The sequence below is a fragment of the Homo sapiens genome, chromosome 5 (assembly GCF_000001405.40).
Source record: "Homo sapiens chromosome 5, GRCh38.p14 Primary Assembly".
Taxonomy (NCBI): domain Eukaryota; kingdom Metazoa; phylum Chordata; class Mammalia; order Primates; family Hominidae; genus Homo; species Homo sapiens.
The window spans coordinates 180807458-180825666 of record NC_000005.10 but is presented as its reverse complement, the minus strand read 5'-3'; the positions used below and the strand labels follow the sequence as shown (position 1 = coordinate 180825666).

The 18209-nt window shown below is 44.9% G+C and overlaps 1 protein-coding gene across 26 annotated transcripts in view, besides 4 other annotated features; it reads left to right on the top strand.

Moving 5' to 3' along the window:
* Positions 704 to 998: a silencer, noted in NCBI's record as "tiled region #14850; HepG2 Repressive non-DNase unmatched - State 23:Low, and K562 Repressive non-DNase unmatched - State 13:Ctcf". NCBI's record gives its function as "represses a minimal TATA promoter and a strong SV40 promoter by Sharpr-MPRA in HepG2 and K562 cells {active_cell/tissue: HepG2 | K562}" and the evidence as "EXISTENCE:reporter gene assay evidence [ECO:0000049][PMID:27701403]".
* MGAT1 (alpha-1,3-mannosyl-glycoprotein 2-beta-N-acetylglucosaminyltransferase) overlaps positions 10051 to 18209 on the top strand; it is a 30837-nt gene continuing 22678 nt past the window's right edge. For 2 of the 26 annotated variants that reach the window (NR_157153.2, NM_001364386.2), the window contains exons 1-2: positions 15792 to 16303; positions 16591 to 17019. The gene's annotated coding sequence lies outside the window, so the exon portion shown is untranslated. Of the gene's footprint in view, positions 10254 to 10384; positions 15476 to 15529; positions 15628 to 15791; positions 17166 to 18209 lie in introns of those variants that run through there. The other 24 variants (NR_157152.2, NM_001364377.2, NR_157150.2 and 21 more) reach the window with 22 other exon arrangements.
* Positions 11072 to 11331: an enhancer, noted in NCBI's record as "active region_23771". NCBI's record gives its function as "activates an Ori minimal core promoter by ATAC-STARR-seq in GM12878 lymphoblastoid cells {active_cell/tissue: GM12878}" and the evidence as "EXISTENCE:reporter gene assay evidence [ECO:0000049][PMID:35858748]".
* Positions 14566 to 14815: a silencer, noted in NCBI's record as "silent region_16774". NCBI's record gives its function as "represses an Ori minimal core promoter by ATAC-STARR-seq in GM12878 lymphoblastoid cells {active_cell/tissue: GM12878}" and the evidence as "EXISTENCE:reporter gene assay evidence [ECO:0000049][PMID:35858748]".
* Positions 15486 to 15535: a silencer, noted in NCBI's record as "silent region_16773". NCBI's record gives its function as "represses an Ori minimal core promoter by ATAC-STARR-seq in GM12878 lymphoblastoid cells {active_cell/tissue: GM12878}" and the evidence as "EXISTENCE:reporter gene assay evidence [ECO:0000049][PMID:35858748]".

The window sequence follows — 18209 nt, the reverse complement described above, 5'->3', positions numbered from 1 at the left end:
CTTGTGTCTCTGCTCGTCCTCTGGCCCTGTTGCCACCCCAGGTGGTCACTGGTCCAGAGGATGAGAGACAAGTGAAGCAGCCCTGACTCGGCTCACAGCTTGAAGCAGAGCGGCCTCCACCAGCCTGCAAGAAAAATAAATGACTTTTTTGATAAGCCACTGAGAGTTTGAGGTTGCCTACCGTGAGCTCAGCCTTAACTGAGTGAGTTCTACTAGTAACGAAGGGGAGAATGAACATTTGTGGACTTCGAGCATTCTGCAGTATGAGAGGGGCCCCTCTCTGGATGGAGCAGGGAAGACCTGACCTGTAGGGACTCCTTAGGGGTCCAGAGCAAAGCCCAGGCGGCTTAGTTAGACGGCATGCTCTCCTGGGACTCTCATGGGCAGACAGACTGGAGATCAGCTGAACTGGGGCCAGCTGGAAACACCTCTGTCTGGAGACATCTTGGGGATAAAGGGAAGTTTGGGGTGGGAAGAATGATAATGGAAAGCTGCGTCCAAACAAATAAAACTGTCGCATTAACAAGTTGAAGAAGAGTTTTCCCAGTGAGTCGAGAACTGGTGCTAATAATAGAAGCCTCAAACAGCTGTGCATTTTGCCATATTAAATAGTTCATTTGTGTCTGTCTGTTGCCAGCACAGCTGTAGAGAATGATGCTGCTCCAGTTTGATCCAATACAGTATTTGGAATGCATGGAAAAGATCACTGATGCCTTTACCTGATGCCTTACCTCTGAAGGATATTTCTCCACATAATCGGCCCTCGGTTTTGTGCTGAATGCAGCTGTTGAAGGAAGCAGCTCTCTGTATTACTTGCTGATTATCCTGCCAACAGGAATTTGGGTGTGCGGAAATGGCATCAAATTCTTTCCACTGGGAAAGTGCTAGCAACAAACAAGAGGTTAAAAAGCTTTTGAAAGCACAGCAATTTGGGTGTGAATATCCATTCTGAGGTGGATGAATTAGTTCCTGATAAAGTATTGGCTGCTTATTTGAAACTGGTTGAGGAAAAGAAAACATGGCTTTAAAAAGCTCTTCAAATACAAATATATCCTCAATTTTATCTGCTTTTTACTGATATTTATCTGTCTGCCTTCTATTATGAAAATTTTCAACACTGAAAAATGTCAAAAGAAACCACAAATGCTTTTCATCTAGATTCAATGGTTGTTAACGTTTTACCATATTTGGTTTTTCTCCTCTCTCTGTCTCCCCACAAACACATGATACACACCATTTTTGAAAATAAGTTGTCAGTATGGCATCATGATCCGTAAGTGCTTCAATATGAATCTCCTAAGAATAAAGAAAATCTCCTGTATAACCGCAATACCACTATCATACCTAGGAAACTTAACAATGATTCTACAATCACAACTAATATCCAAGTCATTTTAAAATTTTTGCAATTGTACCTTAAATGTTTGTATGCAGTTTCCCCCGAGAGCTAATCAAGGCTTATGGATTCCATCTGGAGGCTAATCTGGAAAATCTCCCCCACCTTAACTTCTGTTTGGTTTTGATTTACGACATTGACTTGAGGAATCTGGGCCAGCTGTCTTAGAGAAGGTCACACATCCCTGGCTTGCCCGATTGTTTCCTGATGGTGTCCTTTAACTTTTACTTTTAAGCCCTTATAATGGAAGTTAGGTTTTAGGTTTGAATAAACTTTTTTCTTTTATTTATTTATTTATTTGGCTATAAAGAATACTTTACAGGTATTCCATGAGGAGGTCCTCACACTGGGTTTTTGCCAGCAGCGATGCTCAGGGGGATGACCTGTTGAGAAAGTAATTATTATATGTCCATGAGAAGGTACCTTTGCCTGGAACATCAACTGAGGCAAAGTTTACATGCTATTGCTTTGCAGGGTGGGGGTGCAATGCTGTGAAAGGGGAAAAATGAATTGAGGGGGAAACTACAAGATGGTCTGCTGCTGAATTAGCCACTGCTTGATAAACAGCACAGCTGGCCGCTTGGCTATGTGAGACATCTTTGGAGGTGCTGTGTAGCTCCGTTGCACCTCAGAGGAGTCCTACAAGGCAAAGCTCACGTGGTGGTAAAGCACTTGTACTTCAGGATTGTGTTGCTAGCTGCCTCGACACAGCCACTGGGAAAGCCAGTTCACCCGGGGCTCCTGCTGGACCTGGGCACAGGAGTTGCTGCAGCTCCTGCCCTGGCAGGTGGAATGACATGGCCTTGCCAAAGACAGCGGTGCCTGTCATTATAGGAGGTAAGGTGACAAGGTGGAAGCTGGAACTTTGCGGCCATCACTGGAGCTGCTTTACCTAGGATCAGGGTAGTGGGTCCCCAGGGGCAGGCAGGGTCAAATGGATGTGCTGGCTGGGTATAAATTGGATCCAACATTTTTTTCCTTTTAAATTACTGAATGATTTGTGGGGTGTACTTTGCCCCTGTAGGAATATTCTATTGCCCTGCCACGTTTATGTAATGGTTTCAGTATCCATTGATTATTCTTGCCTGTACCATTTATTACAGCAGGAGATGCAAGATATGAGGGTTAGTTATGTTCGTTACCACTAGGGTGTCATCGTACGCTTTTTCAGGAACACAACTAGGATGCTTTATTTACATATGTAATGAATATATATATAATAAAAATATATATATAATGAAATAGTATGAGTTTGTATTGCTATTGAAATTTAACATAAGTGTTTACATTATTTTTTTATATTTTATCTTTTTCCTCTTATACAGAAAAATTCCTAGTTCCTAATAATATTGATATATAGATATAGTCAGAGTAATATGTTCAAGTTACCCAAATTAACCTTTTTGTTTATTGTTGGTTTGGATCAATTTTATATAGAGTTGGTCATTTATTTCTCTTAAGGTACAATTTTAAGGCATTTTCCTTTATAAATTACTTTTATTTCTGAATATATAGAGAATAAATGGTTCAAAAATCAACATTGTGTAAAAACATTTGATCAGAGAAGTCTCACGCCTGTGCACATCCCCACCACCCTGCCCCAGTCTCCCTACAAGGATAGGTCATCAAGTTGATTCGTTTCTGGTTTTTCCTCTCCTGTGTTTCTTTTTGCAAACATGAGCAAGTACATATATACATTTTAATTTATCCTTCTTTCTTACACAAAATGTGGCGCACTATACACTCTGTTCTGTCTTGCTTCTCTCTCTTAATAATGTATGTTCAAGGCATCATTCCACATTGGTTCACAGACACCTTAAATACCAATTTTTTTTTTTTAGATGGAGTCTTGCTGTGTTGCCCAGGCTGGAGTGCAGTGGCACGATCTCGGTTCACTACAACCTCCACCTCCTGGGTTCAAGCAATTCTCCTGCCTCAGCTTCCCGAGTAGCTGGGATTACAGGTGCCCACCACCATGCCCGACTCATTTTTTGTATTTTTAGTAGAGACGGGGTTTCACCATGTTGGTCAGGCTGGTCTTGAACACCCACCTCAGGTGATCTGCCCGCCTCGGCCTCCCAAAGTGCTGGGATTACAGGTAAGAGCCACTGCGCCCGGCTTTCAATACCAAAATTTATCAATTGTTTATCATATGTCCAATGTATTAGGGTAAGCTAGACAATGCTCCCGTAGCACAAAAAAAAAAAAAAAACAAACCTCAAATTTCAGTGGCTTTACAAATAAAAGGCCGATCGCTTGCTCACATAAGGTCCTTTGTGGATTGGACAACCCTCCTCTATCTTGTAATTGCATCACCTACAACATGTATCTATATGGTGGCTTATTGGCTAGAGCCGTCACATGGACTCAAACTGGTGGCAAATGTAGTGTTATGTTCATGAAGAGGAAACTGAGAGGGGATTTGGTGGGTACTACTAGCACTATCTCAGCCACGCAAGGCTTTATATAGGCCTCACAACAGCTCTGTAAAGTAGATAATCTGATTGTTCCCATTTTACAGCTAAGCACATTGAGGCTCCAAGTATTCATATGCCTTTCAGAGTCATAGTGTTCCTGTATAACAGGGTTCATTTCAAATGTAGGTTTCTCTGCCTTTAAAGCCTGTACTTATACCCAATTCCGTGGTCAGTCATTATTGTCCACTAATAAAGAATGGCAAATCCATTTCATCCACGCATGAATGCAAATCTCCAACATAAGAGATCAGTACAATTGGTACAGAACAATAAATATTTAGAGTTAAGATTCATAAGCTGTTTTCTACAAAAAAGTGCAAGATTAAAATTAAATCCCTGGACCAATGAAGACTAAAACATTACAGGACACAATGTTTCAGTAAATTGGAAAATAAAACAGTTTTATTTATAATTTCTGAATCAAGAGCTAATTGTTATAGGAATTTTTTAAAGCTCAAAGTGAAACTGTAAACATTTTTTCTTCCTCTTCCTAAGTAAGAGCATCATATACTGAGCACATGAGAGAAGTTATAAATCTTTCAAAACCATTTGGGGTGGTTCTGAGGACTTACGTCAAGTAATCTTCAAGGATTTCAGTCTTCCCTTTAAAGGAAGAAATAAACAAAAAAATCACATGGCCATTTGGACAGTGCCTCTTGCCCAACATTATCACTTACTGCCTAAGACTCCAGGCAACAATGTGTCCAGTGTATGCTTTTAGAAAGTGATTACAACCAACTAAAACTGGGAACCCCAAATTAAAGGAAGCATTGCCGTCTGTATGCTGGGACTGTAGACTCAGTGACAAGGTAGGGTGGTTCCAGAAGAGTGATTTTCCCTCACCTGTGAGTGTGAAACTAACACCTGGCTGCTGACCCAACATCGTTTTCACAAAGAACACCCTGGGAGTTTCATTATCATATCAGGTGCTTCAGGCATTCTGGACTGTGACTACAGTTCAGGAGGACCATCAGCCAGTGTACACACACACACAAGTTTTATGAGACTAAATTCAGGCAATACACTCTGATCCCCACCCTACCCCACCCGCCTACCAGACTCTTGCCTTTCCATCAAAGCCCACTCTCTGCCCCACATAGGCCAGGTCTGTCCATCCCCTCAGGATCAGGACCTTTGGGCTTGGTTTTTCCTGTTATTCTTCTTTTTCCCACCCTACACCCCATCCCTCAACAGAAGGTCAGTTATTGTGTGGAATTGCTCGCACACCGATGTTATCATGAAGCGCTGCACTCTTCCCTGCCTTCCTCCTGTTCAGGCTGTTCCTTTAACCTTTGGCTAGAGGCAAGGATGAACGTCACCTCCTGGACAAGACTTCTCCAAGTCTTTGGCAACCAGGACCGTGGGCTGGGCTCCAGGGCCTTGCAGGGCCTCCTTCCAAAGAACCGAGTCTTTCTTCACTGGTTCTCTCCTCTCTCTCTCTGCCTGGCCACAATGCCTTCTGAGGCCTTATCACCCTTTGTTAACACTTGCTCATCCAGACTCTTCTGCCAGGGCCATCTGGGTCTTTTAAATTGGCATTAGAGTTTAAAAAAAGTCAAATCAAACTGGTATTTAACAAAAACATTGCAGGCGGTGGCTCACGCCTGTAATCCCAGCACTTTGGGAGGCCGAGGCGGGCAGATGACGAGGTCAGGAGATCGAGACAATCCTGACAAACATGGTGAAACCCCGTCTCTACTAAAAATACAAAAAATTAGCTGGGCGCGCTGGGGGGCACCTGTAGTCCCAGCTACTCGGGAGGCTGAGGCAGGAGAATGGCGTGAACCCGGGAGGCGGAGCTTGCAGTGAGCCGAGATCGCACCACTGCACTCCAGCCTGGGCCACAGAGCAACACTCCATCTCAAAATAAATAAATAAATAAAAATAAATAAAATAAAAAAATAAAAACAACAACAAAAAACTCCTAATCATTGTTAATGTGGAAATGGTTGCCACTGGAATAAATTTGAAATTATGTATTTAAAAAAATCTAACCAGTATTTAAGTTCTGCTATGTGTGCCTAACACTGTTAGGAGCACACAGTTAAGACACAAGTTCTTGCATTCAAGAATCATATTGGAAGACAAGATTTAAGTAAATGAAAGCCATTTAACGGTGACCCAGAAAATAAAATGAGTCTGGAATGATTAATAAAATCATATAATGACATTGTGTTTCCTCATCTGTGGAATCACAGAGGATTTGATCAGGTTATCCATAAAGTTCCCTCTTTTATTCCAAATAAATGACACTAGATATTTCAAATTTTATTATTTTTTATATATAACATATAATTTGTATTATACTATATAATATAATATAAAACATAATTATATAATATATTATATAATATAGGTAATTATAATATATAATTATAATATATAAAATATATATAATATATAATATATAATTATATTATATATTATATAATTATATACAATATATAATATAATATATAATTTATAATATATAATATAATAAAATAATAATATAAATTGTTATATAATAAAATAATATAACAGTACTATGTGCCAGACACCATGGCTGACAACTCTTCCAACTTTCATAAAACCATGAGGTGGCCATTATAAATCTTCCATGTGGCAGGTGGGGAAACAGGCACAGAGAGGTTAAGAATTTGCCCGTGGGCACACAGCATTGTGGTACAGTTGGCATTTGAACCCAAGGGAGATAACCAGTGTGCCATGGCATCTCTGTGTAGCCCTAACCTCATTCTTTCCCATACTTACTTTTCAAAGTGTATTTCCTTGCTTCTTTAATGGGAAAACAATGTATCCTTCTTGGGATGCCTATTTTTCTCTTTTCCATTAACCCACAAACTTGGCCTTCTCAGTTCAAACTTGTACAATTTGCAACCAAGTTTCTAACATTGTCTTGGCTGGGACTCTTCTCTAGGGATTTGGTTTACTGGAATCTACAAATTTTACTCCGATTTTAGCCGAAAGTCCTGTCTCATTCACTGTATCGCTTATCTTTTTAAATTTTCTCAAAACGTGGTAGGCAAAATCTTCATCTTGTAGCTCGCTTTTTTTCTACCCCTTTTAACATTTTGATTCCACAGCCTCCCTGGGAGGACCTCCTCATAGTGCTTCACTGAAACCTGAGTTTCTTCCATGGCTGCTCCTGTCTACTTCATCCCTGCAGCTGCTGCACATCCACCCAAGTCCTCTCAAGACACTGCTGTGGGACTGAGAAATAGGAAAAGGAGGAAAGCCAGGGACAGCTGTGCCACAGTGAATTCCAACGTAGGGCAACGAAAGCTCATCCTGACAGCGTACTGCACTTTCGAGGAGCGTGGCATTTGAGCTGGGAATAAAGTCCGAGGACATCAGGAGGTGAAGGGAGAGCTACCGCCCTGGCTGAGAGAGGGAGATGAGTCTGGGGTCTGTGTGTCCCTCAGGCCAGCCATCCCTGACCTCTACCCTGGAACAAACTGCCTGTGGTGTTCTGTATAGTGCCAAAGCCCAGAAAACAACAAATCATGATTTTTTTACTCAGAATATTCTCCTCACCTGGGTTCCAGCTGAGTAGATCTGAGCCATTTCATGTATTACATCCAGTTCCTCACTGAAATGCCAATTGTTTTTCACCCACTCGAGAAGGCAAGTCAGCTTGCTGTGCCCACAGACATGACCTCAAATGGGTTTGATTTATTTAGGCAGGTCAGTCATCTGAAAAGGTCAGCCCTTAGCAGTTCCTAGGAATTAATCAGTGGTGTGACACAACGCAGCTGTGATTGCCACAAACCAGCGACAACTGGGTAGTGGCAGGCACGGTACTAAATTATTAACCCCCAGAAGTTTGTGCCCGCCCCCCCTTTTTTTTAAACTTGCCTTGAATGCCACCTAATGAGTGCTTGCTGGGGCGTGAAACAGTCTTGAACCTACATTCTTGCATTGTTTTGGAAGGCGTCCTGTGTTGATACTGAGTGGGGGCCTCGTACAGACCACATTTTGTCACAAAATAAGGTAGAAAAGAGTGAATCATACACCTGGAAAAAGATCAGAGAACTGTGCTTTGAAAGATTAATAGATGTGTTTCCCTTTTTATGACGAATGAAGATTATTACTGACAATTATTTAAAATGTTTCTAATAATTACAATGGTTGTTCTAGTTTAAAACTCATTTCACAAAAGATAAAGAATTATACAGTTCTAATTAAGGTTTGGGAGTAATAGTTAAAACTGGTTTTCCCCAAAGTACTTTTCAACTGTTCCTGCACAAGGAGATGAGTAAAGAATTTGCTCAGGGTCTGTGATGAGCTGGACCCTGGAATGAAGACCAGAATCCAAGCTCCTGACCTCAGACCCAGCTTAGATGATAAGGAGCGTAAATACTCATACTGGAGTTTGGTTGTTCTTGAAGAGAGATTTATGATCCCCAAACCAGGAGTTCCTTTTTCCCCTGGTTGCTTTCAAGACCTTGTGGTGACCCACCTACTCCCAGGAGGCAATCCTGATTAATTTTACTGCCTCCAAACCGGTCTTTGTGTCAGCACTTCTGAATTGACTTCAGTCTTTTGTTTCTTTGTTATTTCTTAAGAGTGAATTTCCTTTCTCCATGTGACCTGAAATATCTTGAAGGCAAAAGACGCTTCTATTTATAACTGTGCTTCCTTGACCTTCCTCTCCCACCCTTCTCCCTCCATACCCCTCTTCCTGCCTCCCTGCCGCCCCTCCCCTTCCACACACAAGTGGAGGCCCAGTGCAGGAAAACCTCAGCCTCCTGGCGTCAGGAAGGTTTCAAATTCTCACTGGTAATGGACACACACCGTCTGGAGGAGCTGGGCTGAAAAATTACTGGCCTGGACAAATGCTCCTGATTTAAATGTAAATTCAGACTTAAAAAATAGACCTGGTGATATTCAGAACTTACAATATCGTTTAAACAGACTGGCTTTCTCTGTGAAGATCACTCTTTAGGAGCCCTGAAAAGGAGAGGCCAGGTGGGAAACGGGAACTATGGGAACTGCTTCCTCAGGGAGGGGAGTGCAGGGCTCTCCACCAAGTGCCCCCTGGAAGCTCAATGCCCAGCAGCGCCAGGCGCCTTCCGATTGTATCTGCGAACCTAAAGCCCTCAGATGTTTATGCAGCTCTTTGCGGTTTTAAAAGGGTTCCCACACACATGGTTTCACCTGATCCTCATGAGTGCCTTGCCAGGGGTGAAGGACAGATTTCATTATCCTCGCTTTATGAAGAGGAAACTGGATCCCTGGAGTCCACGGAAATGAGAGGAGCCAGGATCTGAGCCCACCCATAAATATTCATTGAATTGCACTAATATAGAAATATATGATTATTTTAAGGTAAACAGAATGTTTGTCCTTAAGAAGCTCATATCTAATTGTGGAGAAATGTTCAAAAATTTTTTTTTTATTTATTTTTGAGATGGTGTCTTGCTGTGTCACCCAGGCTGGAGTGCAGTGGCACGTACTCGACTCACTGCAACCTCCGCCTCCCAGGTTCAAGCGATTCTCCTGCCTCAGCCTCCCTACTAGCTGGGATTACAGGTATGCGCCACCACGCCCGGCTGATTTTTGTATTGTTAGTAGAGATGGGGTTTTACCATATTGGCCAGGCTGGTCTCAAACTTCTGACCTCAGGTGATCCGTCTGCCTCGGCCTCCCAAAGTGCTGGGATTACAGGCATGAGCCACCGCACCCGGCTCCAAAATAAACGTAATTAAAATAACCATACAAGGAATAAATAAGGCAAGACCAGACATCCTTCATTGTAAAATGAGGCGAGAAAGTGCTGTGATTTTTTAGGGGACTTAGGTAACTGTTACCCCATGATTGAATGGAACTGAAATTTCTGTATCTTCCACCCCAACTCCATTCCATGTTCCTGCTGAATATTCTGGGTTTTGCTAGAATTCCTTATGACACATAAAAAGTCTTCAGCTCTACGCCTTAGGCATGGCGATGTCTGGGTTTGTCACGTCATCTTCAGTCCTGTATTTACAGTGCAACTCAGGGCCAAAACAAAAAAGAATTTTTTTTTTTAATTTAAAAAGTCACAGGGAACATGAAAAAGGGGAAGAGGGAAATTTGTCTTCAGTGTTGCAGGAAAGTCCACCCTCTCCTTCTAGGGGTGGAACTTAGTGGATCTAATGAATCACACATGAAAAGAGACGTAAAAGAGGAAGGAGTTTCAGGAGGGTATTGGCCAGGTCAAAGGAGAGGGTGGAGGAAAAGAGCCACGAAATAACCGGGAGACAAGCTTTCGGAGGCTTTTGACTGACTGGATGTGGGAATGTTGTGGAAGACTTCTGGCCTGCCATTTCCTGAGAACGGGACTGCTGAGAGAGGAGCTGGGAGGAGCACTGCAAATTTCACTTTGGACACGTGAGTCAGAGGTATCTGTGAGGGGACTGAGTTGGGAGGGCAAGCAGGGAATTGGACATGTGGGCCTGGAGCACAGAGAAGGGACTTGAGCATGCATATTTGGGTGTTCCCTCCAAAACTTATGTTGAAACTTAATCCCCAGAGTGGCAGCATGGAGAGGTGGGGCCTTTAAGAGGTGATTGGATCATGAAGGCTCTATTCCCACTAATGAATGGATTCATCATGGGAGAACTGGCGGCTTTATAAGAGAGGAAGAGAGACCTGCGCTAGCACCTTAGCACGCTCAGTCCCCCTGCCATGTCATGCCCTGAACCCCTCAGGACTCTGCAGAGAGTTCCTACCATCAAGAGGGCTCTCACCAAATGCAGCCCCTCAACTTTGGACTTCTCAGCCTCCAGAGCTGTAAGAAATAAATTCCCTTTCCTTATAAATTACCCAGTTTCAGATATTCCTTGTTTTTAATTTTTAATTTTTTTTTTTTTTTGAGACAGAGTCTCACTCTGTCGCCTAGGCTGGAGTGCAGTGGCGCGATCTCAGCTCACTGCAACCACCGCCCCCCCGGGTTCAAGCGATTCTCCTGCCTCAGCCTCTGGGGTAGCTGGGATTACAGGCACCTGCCACCACGCCTGGCTAATTTTTATATTTTTAGTAGGGATGGGGTTTCACCATCTTGGTCAGGTTGGTCTTCAACTCCTGACCTCATGACCCACCCGCCTCAGCCTCCCAAAGTGCTGAGATTACAAGCGTGAGCCACTGCACCCGACCCCAGTTTCAGATATTCTGTCATAAGCAATAGAAACAGACTAAGTATCTTTGACATGGAGTGGATACTGGAAGCCATGTGACTTCTGTGGGATCATCTCGAAAGAAAGTGTAAAATGAGAAGACACAAGGGCCCAGGAAAGAGCCCTAGGGAACTCCGCATTTGTACAGCAAGTGGTGGGTAAAGAGAGAAAAGGGAGAAGCCTGCTAGGATGCTGAGGAGGAGCAGCCAGAGGAGGGGGAACCCCAGAGAGCGTGCTGGCGTGGGAGTCAAGAGAAGTGTGTCAGAAGAAGGGAGCGGTTGACAATGTCAGAAGCTGCCAAGAGGCACAATAAGATTGAGGGAACAAGTGAGTGTGGTTGTTTCTTTATGGGCCAGAATTTTAAATACCAGGATGAAGGGCACCTAACAAATAGCAAATACACAAACTAACTTTTGTACCTACCAGACTTCAGACTAAAATCGGTACAAAGAATACTCGCCAGGGTAAGGAGAAGCCCAGGAAATTACAAGAGATATCTAGTTTCTGAAATGAATTACAATGATCATCTGAACAAATAGTGTGAAAAAATATACACCTGAAAAAATGTGTGAAAATGGCCAACAAAACATTGAAAATCAGGGTTACTGGGGAAGACTTTTACTGCCAGTTATTAAAATTTACTATCAGCTGTATTGACTGGAACAGCTGCCAGAATAGGTAATTCAACAGCCAGGATGGGAAGCCCTGATACATAAGTTTGGTGGGGACTGTAGGTAGCCCCTCTGGCTACCTTCTTTCTAGTTGAATAGGTTACATATCTAACTCCCTTGCAATTAGGTTCACCTACTCAGGTGCCCTTGAGTTAGACTTGAAAGGCAGAAGACAGCAGAGGCCATTTTACTGCTGCTTCTGATGGAGATGCGAGGCTTCCATAGGAAAGAGGGGTCCACTGGTATAAAGAGCCCGACAACCATGTTCTCCAGATGTTCAGTCCCTCTTGGCCACCCCACACCAAATGACAGTCCGCGAGACTCTGCCCATGGAGACTCCACCTGCTGGTCCTCTAGGTGGAGTAACTGATAACAAAAATCTCTAGCTTACTCCTAAGTGTTTATTCTGAAGGCAGTATGTACAGCAAGACCAGACTTTTGGCCCAGCTAGCGGTGACTACTGCAATGTCAAAAGAGCACATAAACAGACTTAAAAAGCAAATGACAAACTGGGAAAATTGCTGTAACATAGGTAACAAAGGGCTGATATTCTATAAAGAGTTCTTGCAAATGAATAAGACAAAGATGAATCCAAGTGGGCAAAAGATATGCTGTAGGCAATCTGCAAAAGTGATGCATAAAAACAGGTTCAACATTACTAGCAATTAGTGGAATAAAACTTAAAACAACAATGCAAAACCATCGTTCTATCATATTAACAAAGATGACAAAAAATGGTGTGACAGTGCAGGGTGTGGAGAAAAGTTGGTGTCAAAGCTGTGCCATCTTTCTGTGTATCTTTCATATCAAACAAACGCCTTCAACAATGAGCACACCTTTCGACACGAGTTCCCAGACTTTATCCTAAAAAAAAAAAAAATGACGTGCACACAGATTTAGCTACAAGTAATTTTGCAAAAGTGAAAAGTTGAAAACAACCCAAATGTACAAAAATAGGGGAGATAATTATGGTACATTTGTATAATAGTATGCCACTTGGTCATTAAAAATGCCATAGAAGTATATTTTTCATAAACTTATTTCTAGCTGCTGGTTTTACAGGTGGTTTTTGCTTTTTTATTTTATCATTTATATTTTCCTGTAATTATTGCATATTTTTTAATAATTTTTTAAAACCGGCAATTATATGGTGAAAAGGAGAGAAGGGCATTAGTAAATTCTGAAGCAACTGAAATTAAATTGTAATTGCTCATTAATAAATAAACATCATTACATACTAACATTTACCTTAAATAAACTAGATTTCATTTTTCTACTATGGGAGGAAAGACCTAAAATACAAATTGACTCGAATTATAGAAAATAAAGTTACAATTCAGGAATATCTGTCTTTGGACTGTGAAATTTGTACCTGTTATGTATGTGTGTGTGTGTGTGCCTGTGTGTGTGTGCGTGTGTATAAAAAATATTTGGAAAGATATCCACTAGTTTAAAAGTGGTTCCTTTCAGCAGGGTGGGATGAGAGGGGGACAGGAGACAAATTTTTATTTACACAACTCTGTATGACTTGTTATAACAAGCACGAAAAATCGAAGGTCACTTAAGTAAAAATGGTTATAATTATGAAAATACTTAGAAATATGTAAAGTCTCTATGGTATGATTAGAAATCATAATGCAAAATCTGTATACTGTGCTTATACCTATGTTCATATATTTCCATGTGAGAGAAGCCCGAAGGGGAATACTCTGCGGTGAAAGTAGCTTTTCAAGTTCATTCATTGGTTCATTTATTCCACAAATGTGTGCTGAGCTGCTACCATGGGCCAGCCAACTGTTGCAGCCACCGGGATATAGCAATCAAAAATCAAATGTGCCTCCACTCAGGGAACTTAAATTCTAGTAGTGGGAGACAGACAATACATGGTAAACCCGGCGAGTATTTCAGGAAGTGGTGAGCGTCCTGGGAAAAGTGGAGCAGGCCAAGGGAGACTAGCAGTGCTCTGGGTCAGGGGCAGGTTTAAACAGGTTGGTCAGGAAAGGCCTCACTGAGGTGACATGGGAGGAAAGATTTGAAAGAGCTGAAGGGTTCAGTCCTGGAAATGCCTGGAAGGGGTGTTTTACAAATAGACAACAGCCGGTGCAGAGGCCAATGCAGCTAACAGAGGAAGGGGAGAGCAGGTCAGACAGCTAGGCAGGCCAGTGGGTTGTCCGGCTCTGCAGCCATTGTAAGGACTTTGGCGTTTTATTTCAAGTAAACTGAGGAGCCGCTGTGCAGTTTGGAGCACAGAAACGACAGGATCCCTGTGGCTGCTGTACGGAAACCCAGCGACTGGGAGGGTAGGGAGGGCAGGGAGACCTAGGTGTTCAGGTGAGGGATGAAGGGGGGTGTGGACATGTTGAGGTGTTGCATCCTAGACACAGATTGAAGGTAGGGTCAACAGGATTTCTAGTCAGATTGTGTAGAGGGGGTGAGAGAGTGAAGCTGGCTCTTCTGGTTCTGGCCTGAGTAAATGGAGCCGCCATTAATGCCCATGGGAAAGACAGGTGGGCGGAGAAGGTTTGAAGGTGGGGGAAGAAAGGGTCTTATTTTCTTCTTCCTTGCAATAATATATCCCAAGCAATATAATTAAGCAATATGTATTTTTCCCTTTAAGGAAATTCCAAAAATTATATCGTTCCAAATAAAAAAATCATCTCCAGAGTCCTGACGCAGCAACCATTACATTCCCAGTAATGGAAATGTTAAGTCAGTCCGTGCTCTGGAGAAATCCCACGACAGAACACAGGCCAGGAGACCGGGCCTAGATTCCGGTTTTCGAACCGTGGGGGCAAACACGGAGGCTGCAAATCCATCCCCAGTCCGGCAAGATTCTCGAACATGTCGGGAGAGGGCTGCATAGGAACTTCAAAAACGAGTAGCGGCTCCCCTGGATTCAGCGTGAGGGGGAAACCGCGGGGCAGGTTCGAAACTCAGGAGTCCGACGTCTGAAGGAGCGGGAGGCTGCTTCCGAGGAGCCCGGGGCACGACGGGAAGGGCCGCGCCGGCCAGGCAGCCCTCCTCCCGGCAGCCTCGGGCAGGCCGTTCACGCGCCGGCGACGGCGGGCCCGGCCGCAGGTACCAACAGCACCTGTCAGAGGGCAGCGCGGGCGCACCCTGCAAGGGCCCTGCCTCGTCAAGAGAGGCAGCGAGAAACAGCAGCGATGAACGAAACAAAACCTTCCTCCACCACGGCTACACAGAGCTCGCGTCCGAGGAAGCGGGAACACACAGGCCCCGGTGCTTTCCGAAAGGCTTCTCGCCAGGACCCGCGACCAGCGTGGGGCGGAGGGGGGGGGTCACCCTTTTTGAGAAACCAGGTCAAGCAGGCCGTCGCTGGGCGACCTTTGGGCGGAGGGAGAGGGCAGGGCTGCACCGCACAGGTTCCGCCCCTACTTCAGCGTCCTCGCCCCTCCCAAGCTCCGCCCAGCACCCCAAGGGCCAACCCCCCCGCGACGCATGCGTGCTTCTTCCCGCGCGGCTCCACCTGCCGCGCGCTTCCGCTGCTGGCCAGTCTCTTCTGCCCCTCCCCCTCCTGTACGGCCGCTACTCTGCGCCCGGCTTCCTTCTCACAACCTGGTTCTGCCCACACCTGTTCTTCAGCCCTGTGAACAGTGGCTGTAGAACAGTCTCAGGCCCTGCAGACCCACCTCCCTCGCTCCCGTGGTGGCGGTGGTGACGGGCTGGGGACGTTGGGTAGAAAAATGGGCGGGATGTGGAACGCTGCGTTGCCGGGGCCCACTTCCGGAGGACGGGCGGAAGTGGCTGCGGTGGATGGTGGGAGGGGGGAAGGAGTGCGAGGGGAGGGCCGGGCCGCTGGGGGTCGAGGGGGTGGGGCCTGGGCCAGCGCTGGGGATCGGGCCTGGGGCCTGGATTGCGACCCGCGGCGGGCCGCGGCTCCTAGCCGAGACGGGGCGGGCGGGAACCAGGTAACGACCCGGCGCAGTTAGAGCGAGGGTCGTCCGCAGGGCGGACGGGTGGGGGTCAGAGTCCAGGAAGGGTCGCAGTGTCACCCTCTTCTCTTGTGAACACGGGGCACGGGGTTCCGGGGAGAAGGGTGGGAGGAGTTAAATTCTTGGAGGGGGTGGAGGTCATGTGGACGCCACGCCCCTACAGGAAGGAAAGGAGAGAGAGAGTGTGTGTGGATGGATGTGTGTTGAGAGAGAGAATGGATGTGTGTGTGTTTACGAATAAACTTGGAGGGGAGGGGGCAACAGGGGTGGGTTTTCGGGCTGAGAAATGGGAACACTGTGGGGCTGCTGCAAGCAGGACTTGGGCCTTAAACATTCCAGGAGAGTGTTCTCGGGAGTAGCCCCGGGAAGGACTTTAACAGAGGTTGGGAATTACATCTCTGGCACAGTTTTGCAAGCAGAGGGGGAGCTTAGTTAAAGGAGCAAAGAATGCAAGTGGAAGATGCCAGCATCTCGGTCTGGAAAGGATTTATTAACTAGTTGAAGAGGGCTGGTGGATTAAAACACTCAGCACCCTAAGAAGCTTGGGAGATTCGATTATTATGTTGCGCTTTAGACAGGAGGGCAGGAGAAAGGGCGTTCTTTTCTCGATTTCTTAGAAGAGTCTCCGGTTACTTTTCTGTGGTGAGAACGGGTACGATCCATCTTTTATCCTGAATCATGTATGTTTGTACATACATATAATATGTTTATATTATATGTGTTTATATATGTAAACACTATTGATGAGGTGACTGTGTTCTGGCGTGTGATACGTGAGTTAAGTAGGTGCTTTGTATAACCTTGCGGAGTGTTTAACGAAGGTGTTTTGATGATAGAGCCTAGTATGGACTCTTAGGTGGGGAGTGGAAACTAGAAGGTTTTAGGACTCTATTTGGGTATCTAGATTAGAGAGCGTTATAATGTTTAAATGTTCTGCAGGTTAACACAGAAATCTGCCTCCTGGGCCATGCCGCTTCTAAGGCCTGTTTCTTCTCATGAGCCCCAGCACAAGACAGATGGGCCAGTTCTCACAGTGGATAACTTCCCCTGCCTGAGCAAGAGATGGGATAGTATCTGGGATCTGTCCATCACCAGACTCTGAGCTTAATAAGGCAGCTGAATGAAGGGAGGTAACGGACCCCTGAGAGGGGCACTGAAGTCTGCAGTGGGGGGGGAGGGGCCTGGACACACCCCTTCCCCCCCAGACTCCTCCCCGTCAGGGTCAGCTCAGCCATGGACTTTGGACCTGGATAAGAAGAGAGAAGCTGCACTTTGGTGGATCTGATTTGGGATTCTCAGTTTTGAAAATGGAGTGCTGAATGGGGATTTGATGATCTCCTGGAGAGCAACTGAGACAAGAGAAGAAAGGTAAGGCTCCTGTCTCATTTCCCACTTAATGTCTTGCTGTGCCTGTGCAGAAGGTGTTGAGCTGGCGAGTTCGCGGAGGCTACTATTCAGGAAATCTTATCCAGATGAGTACACTGGAAGCTACACCTCTCCATTACTCTGTCCAGGTATAGACTTGTTCCCAACTTCCCCTTACCCAAGCTGGATGAGTGCCTTGTAAGGGATTGTGAGCAATGGCAGTTGTGAGGTTAGGCCAAGGAGAACATGATAATAATTGAAGACTTCTGAAGGGAGGTTGGATTAGATTACCTTTAAAGGCCCTTCCAACACTGAGATAATAGGATTCCAAGTCAGTCTGGGTTAAGACTGGAATGGATTACCTAGGCAGAGGCAGCTGCTCTGTTTTGGGGAGCTAACTGAAAAGGACTGCTGGTGGGGGGAGAAGGCGGGAATGGTCTAGATAACCTCCTAAGTTGTCTCCCTTCCTACTTCTATAAGGGGAGCTTAGCCCATGAAAGCTCGGGAAAAGAGCAGAGGAACAGAACACAGGTTTGGGGGTCAGGAAGGAGTACTTGTGTTCTAGCTTTGACTTTTTGAGTCAGTGTACAACCCTACACAGGCCATGTTCTCTTCACCTACAAAATGGGGGAAAACTGACTTTCCAGGTCCCTTACAAGTTGTTACGAGGAGCAAATGAAACAAGGATTTTGAAAAGTATCCAGGGCCGTGTACACAGGAAACAATAACATCGATGTTGCTCTACGTGCCTTAAAAGCACAGAAACAACTCTGAGTCAGGAGTTCTGTTTTCTTCTTGAAATAGTGTGCTGGCAACAGCCTAAGAAGATGTCCTTAGTGAAAAGCCTGCCCCTGAATGTGTTTCATCATCTTGTTGGTAAACAGTACTTGGGATCATCAAGTTGTAGAACAGGTGAATAGATCCAAGGAGAACTTGGATTGAAGGAGTCTTGCAGATACTGCATTGGCCCTTATGGCTCTCCAGTCCAATTTCAGTGTGCCCCTTTGAGGTAGCTGATTAAAGAGGGGGTGGAAGGATGCTTAAGCCTTGAGGGCAGGTGTCTGGCTAGGCACTTTTCTTGGAGTGAGTGGTGGTCTTTACCTTCCTGTGCCATATGCTAGTTATCTCTCCCGCTCCTTAAGATGACGTTTTTTTCCAGACATCTCTTCGCCCTTTGTATTTTCTCAGGCTGT